Raw genomic sequence first — 6616 nt, forward strand, 5'->3', positions numbered from 1 at the left:
TGCCTTCGGTGTCTTTATTGAGAAAAATGTTGAACTTTTAAACTCTGTTGGAGTGGGTGGAGTCTTCTGCAGAATTTCATAGCCATTTAGTGTTTAAAAACCCCACAACCACCATCAGATTAAGATGGTGTCAGACAAACAGGTGGGAGTGATCTGAGCAGAGGCTGGGTGACTTTTAGATTAAGTGTCCACAGCCCCACCCAAAGTAAACATGAAACTCCCCTGAGAATCCCTTCATGTCAGTTACTGTTCTACAAATGCACTAATCTTCGAGTCCAGTGCAAATATCTGTCCTATGTTTATTGTCCTAACATATCAATGTCCTCTTCTGTAATTGCCCACGTAAGCTCTTTAGAGGCAGGGACAATTTTTGTCATTTGGTTAAACAACACAGGACTGGGGACTTCTAAAATGCTGGGTGGGAAGAACTGGGACCAGTCAGAATAATACGGAGGAGGTTTTGGTAAATGTCTTTTAACCATTGATAAATGGGGCAAATCAATGGAGAAAAGGACGATTATTTAATAAATGATGCTGGGATCTTCATTAGCTCTTTTGAGGAGAAAAACCTCTAGTTGGGCTCTAAACTTCTACTATGAGTCAAAATAAATTTCAGAAGGATTAAAGAGACAAATGATACCAAAGAAAATCATCAAATAGACACATAGATCAATGGAACAGACTTGAGAGTCTAGAAATAAGTTCTTTTATTTTGGTCAATTTTTTGTTTGTTTGTTTGTTTTTTAGAGACAGGATCTCACTCTGCCACCCAGGATGAGTGCAATCGTATGATCATAGGTCACTACAGCCTTGACCTTCTGGGCTCAAGTAATCCTCCCACCTCAGCCTCCTCAGTAACTAGAACTGTAGGCACATGCAACCATGCCCGGCTACTTTTTAAATTTAAAAACATTTTTTGTAGAGGTAGGGTTTTACCATGTTGCCCAGGATGGTCTCGAACTCCTGCCTTCAAGCAATCCTTCCACTTCGGCCTCCCAAAGTGCTGAGATTACAGGCATGAGCCAGTGCACCCAGCCTTGGTCAACTGATTTTCAACAAAAGTGCCAACATAATTTACTGGGGAAAAGAGAGGCTTTTTAACAAATGGTTCTGGGACAATCAGCTATCCCATGCAAAAAGATGAACTTAGACCCTTGACTCACACTATATACAAAATTTAACTCAAATCGGATCATAGACTTACATGTAACAACTAAAACAAGAAAACATTTAGAAGTCAGTACAGGAGAAAATCTTCAAGACCTTGAGTTAAACAAAGATTTCATAGTTATGACACCCCAAGTGTGACCTGTAAAAGAATACATTGATCAGTAGGACCTCCTCAAACATTTTTGTGCTTCACAAGACACCATTAAGAATATGGAAAGACAAGCACAAGACTGGGAGAAAATATTTGTAAACACAACTCCTGCTCTCATGGGGTTTATCTTCTTTGAGGAGTATGAGGGGCCCATAATAAACATTAACACATAAGAAAAATATCCAACAGTGATTCCTGCTCTGCAGAAAAGCAAACTACTGTGATATGTTGACCATGTTGGATTGTGTAGTCAGTCAGGAAAGAGATCTCTACAGAGATTGCTCATTTAAATTGAGCAATCTGAGCTCTGAATGAAAAGCAAAACAAAATAAAACAAATCGAGCAATCAGGCACCTGAAGATCCAATGGGAGCACCCTCCAGGCAGAAGCAACAGCATGTGCAAAGGCCCTGAGTGTGGCACGAGCTTGGCATGTTTAAGGAAAGGAACAACGGCTCCGTCAAAGTAGGAAAGGAGGAGGGAGTTGCCCAATGAGGTGGCCGCAGAAGGGAAGGCATGGTCCTGGAGGGCTTTCTGAGCCGAGGTGAGGAGGTTGTGTGCCCTCAAGCGTGATTGAATCAGACACGTGTGTGAGTTCCATTGTAGAAAATGCATTCCAAAAAATGTACCACTCAGAGTTCTTAGTTGCAAACAGTAAAGCTGACTCTGGCTTGTTTAGCAGAAAGACAGTTATCTTAAAAGGACATTGGAAAGCTCACAGATCTGAAGGCCCTGAAAAACAGGACTCTGGGTCAAGGGTCCAGAGACAATTCCTAAAACCACAAGGAGGATACCCCTGCTACTGATGCCCTGTTGCTGACACTTCTGTGTGTGGAACTCTACTTCGGTCACTTTCAAAGTCTGTTACCTCTGCTTTTGCCCCCGCAAAACAAGGAGTTTGCAGTGATCTTCCTTCTTCAAGTTGCTCACCATTGCCGAATCAACTTCTCCCAGGTATACCAAGTGGCAGAGCCTCGGTCACCAGCTTACATTCTAGTTGCAAAGGAAGCTGGGAATTTGAGTTTTCTAGGTTCAAATTTCAGAGAGTGAAACTCCCAAAGGAGGAATTTTCCCAAATATAAGAAAAACTTTTTTTTTCTGTTTTTTCTGAGACAGTGTCTCGCTCTGTCGCAGGCTGGAGTGCAGTGGCGTGATCTCGGCTTACTGCAAGCTCCGCCTCCTGGGTTCAAGCCATTCTCCAAGAAAAACTTTTTAAAAAGTACTGGGAGGTCAGAAAACACAATAAAAATCCATGAAATCAAATAAGAGTAAACATACAGATCCCAATTAGGAGGCTGTTGCAGTAATTTGTTTAGGTGAGGGATCATGGAAGGCCTGATAGGGCTGGTAATGTTGTATAGGACAGTGATTCTCAAAGTATGGCTCCTGACCAGCGCATCAACATCTGCAAACTTTGTTAGAAATGCACATTTCAGGCCCCACCTTGAACTTACTGAAACTCTGAAGTTGAGGCTCAGCAAGTTGGTTTTAACAGGCCCACTCAGATGATTCTAGTGTATACTAACATTTACGAACCACTGGTAGAGGACATGGAAAGAAGAAGAAGATTTGGAAGTAGTCTATAGGACTTCTTGATGGATTGTGGAACTTAAGGGAGAGAGAGTGGAATCCAAGAGAACACCTAGATTTTCACTTAAGCAACTGGCTAGATAGTAGTGCCTTTTACCAAGAGGGAGAGACTGTGAGATGAACTACTTAAGGAAATTAAAATTTGGGATTTTTTCCAGTGAGCATTCAAAGTTCATTAGGCTCACAGGAGGAAATGTCAGGCAGGCAGGTGGCTATGAGTCTGGTGTGTTTCGGAGAGGTCAGCGTTGAAGAACTAGGTAGGAAAAGCATGTAGAAGGTACTTCAAACAAAGGACTAGTGGGGTCACAGAGAGGATGTATACACAGAAAAGAAAATGGGATTCAAGACAGACTTCAAAGTAAAAGGCAAGTGTGAGAGGAGGATTCTGCCAAGGAGACTGAGATGGAGAGGTCAAGTGAACATGGCAGACAACTCTTATAGAATTGGGCATCAGAAGAAGCAAGAAGAAAAAAGTGTTTAAAGGAAAAGGACATGGTCTACTCTAATCCAAATGAAAGATAGACAGAGGGACCTGCCAGAAATAGCAAAAAAGCAGTGCTATTCCTGGCAGTTTGTCTGGAGACTGGAGAAGATTCTGTCAAAGACCCTGTTGGGCATCTGAACACCTTTCTCTGATTGAAGACCTAGGGATAAACCATCTTCCAGAAAATGATTTGGAGTCCCAAACCACAGGTCTGTTTCTACAGAGAAGCCAAGATGCCTGCCTCCAGAGAACAGGATGCTCTGAAACTGAGCAATAAAAGACCATCAGGACCACTGTGGGAAGACCTTTCCCCTGAGAAATTTACTTATCTTTCTAGGAAGAAAGAAAAAGAGAGTGGTAAGTAGCAGAAGTGTTTCTTCCATATATTTCTCTACTGGGAGTGTGGTGAAGTCTCCCCACAACATGGAAACATGAAGAGTGGGGCCACATTTCCCTCACTGGCCCTGCCATGAAGTGCTTCAAGAAGGGCTGATATTAGCAGAGCCCAGTTTAAGAAGGAAGTGAGAAGCAGTTTTTCCAGAGTCATAAGGGAAATGGAAAAGGTCACATACATGACATTGTTGAGGGCTGAGAAGAAACCTGAATTAGGGAGTTAGAATCTCAAGTTTAAATAACTCCCCAACTTCAATGTTGTGAAAAGTTTAGCAAGTCACTGAACCTCTCTGAGCCTCTCTTCAGTGATTTGTCAAGTGGAGGGCAATTTATTACTGTCCTGCCTCTGGTCAAGTGAGATAATGGTAGAAGGGCTGGATGGACTTGGCAAAGGTTACTATCATCGATAATAGTACTAAGCAGTGTTACTTTCAAGGTATCCGTGAGTGGGGAATCCAAGCTGCTATTGTTCGGATGTATTCCCCAAAATTCATGTGTTGCAAACTTGATCCCCAATGTGGTGGTACTAGGAAGTGGGATCCTTAAGAGGTGATTAGGTCACATGAATAGATTAATGTCATTATCTTGGGAGTAGGTTTGTTACAAAAGTGAGCTCAGCTCTCTCTCTCTCTCTTTCTCATGATCTATGCCCTTCCACCTTTCACTATGGGATGACACAGCAAGAAGGCCCTCTCCAGGTGCCAGCACCTTGTTATTGGACTTTCCAGACTCCAGAACCATGAGAAGTAAATTTCTTTTCTTTGTAGATTACTCAGTTTTTGGTGTTCTCTTATAGCAACACAAACCAGACTAAGACATATGTCTTTGCCACACTGGTGGCCAATTCTCCTCCATCAACTTTCTTCCCGACTTTTCCTCCAGGTTTGCCAGCTTTACCAAACTTCTCCAGTGTCAGCTATGCCCCAAGACTCCAAGAGGCAGAATTTACGTTTCTTAGCCTCTCCAGTGAGATTGCAGTTAGCATTTAAAAACTCCTGCACACTGTAACATTCTTGAACCATACCTCTGATGTTATCACTGCCTCTGGTTACAAGGTTCTAGAGAAACACATGTCTCTGAAATGAGCTCCTTTTTATCAGATAAATTTCTGAATTCAGTAGGAAAAACTCTTCCATTTCACAAACAGGCCCCCATCCCCAAGGCTGTTCCAAAAATTGGATGTCCATGGTAAATTATCTAGTGATATTCCCTATGCTTGCATTCCCTATCACGTGTTGCACAACCAGTAATGCTTTGACCTGAGAAAGCCTACCTAATCATCAGATGCATCCTACAGATGAGAACCACAGGTCCTAGAGGGGCCAAACAACATGGCCAAGATCTCACTTCAGGGCAGAGTCACAGTGGTAGGCTGGAAACCAGGCCTTTTCACCCCCACTGGGTGCAACCATGTTTAGCCCCTTAGTAGTATGGCTTTGCCTACACTCTGCATATCTACTTAACAAACACTTGTAGAGCACTTACAGTGTGTTGGGCGCTGCATAAAGCACTTTGCAGACATTAACTCACTTAATTCTTAGAGTAGCCCTAGCTGTGCAGCCTTACGGAAGCTACTCAACCTCTCTGTGACTCAGTTTTCCCATCCGAAAAAAAGGGATTGTTGTAACAGTCTCATGAGTTAACACACTGAAAGAACTTAAAACAGTGGCTAGTACAGGGCAAACACTTACATGATTAAGTCCATAGGGTACACAATGGGCCAAGGACAGTGATGGACACAGAACACAAAGCAGGAGCACATACCCCGGTCTCATGGGGTGAGGGAAATGTTTGTAGGAAGCCACCTATTTGGTCAACCCCTGAGCCATGTTTACACTAGTGAGAAAGCTCATCACATCTTTGCTCTGGTCCTCTCCCATGGTTCAGTATGCCATGCAGCATCAGACAAGAGTAAATGTGCCCTCCAAGATGTAAAGATGCATTTGCTAGTCTTTATTTACGGATATACTGACAATGGAAAACATGTTCCCCTATATGAGCAGCCCTGAGAACAACGCCAAAGATTTCCTGTAATGAAAGGCTCTAAAAATACTTTTTGATGATGGAGGGAGTGGAAATTGAGCAACACCAACTGAGTGAAATACGGAAATGATACCAAATGGCACCGAAGCAGCAGAGCAGGCAGCCCACCTGGCCTTTGATCCCTCAGTCTTGCCCGAAGACTCAGTGCATTTGGGGTTTTTTCCAGGAGGCTGTGCTGTGCCTTTGTGTTTACATGCTCCATCTAATTTTCTAGAGAAAAAAATTAGTCAGCCATGACTAATGCTGAATTATAGCATAAAATGGTTGCCAGCAAATTGAACACCCAAGTAATCTAACTTTCTCTTTTTTGTGATCTGCTGAAGATCTCCAAGAAATGGGAATATGTTCTGTGTTTTGGGCCCTCAACTCCTTCCATATTTACTACCAAATTATTGTTAAAGTCAGATATATTGCATATCCTGTCCTATTTTTGTTAGATTTAACCATTTTGTTAAACTGTTGTGGAATAGTGTTTATAGTTTGTGACTTGGTCATGGATATGATATTTTACTCTCATCTCTGCTCTTTGAGAGAGTCACTGTCCCCACCACCACCACCTCCCTTTTACAGAGGAAGAAATTGAGGCACAGAGCTGCAAAGGAGTTTGTCTGAGGTCACACCACCGGCCGATGACAGCCTTCCGACTACCCAGTCCCTCTGCTGGGTTGATCCTGTGGATTTCCATTTTACTATCGGTTTAGGGTATCCTAGTCATTACAAATCTCTGTTTGTTATGGCCCATCTCCAAAGGAGGCCTTGGCCTGGCCAAGAGGAGCCTTCTCTTTT

General features: G+C 42.8%; 1 protein-coding gene across 1 annotated transcript in view; it reads left to right on the forward strand.

Moving 5' to 3' along the window:
- Nucleotides 1-6616, forward strand: part of RBPJ (recombination signal binding protein for immunoglobulin kappa J region) — a 329683-nt gene that overhangs the window by 39761 nt on the left and 283306 nt on the right. The gene's annotated exons all lie outside the window — the stretch shown is intronic.

Source organism: Homo sapiens, chromosome 4 (genome assembly GCF_000001405.40).
Source record: "Homo sapiens chromosome 4, GRCh38.p14 Primary Assembly".
NCBI lineage: Eukaryota > Metazoa > Chordata > Mammalia > Primates > Hominidae > Homo > Homo sapiens.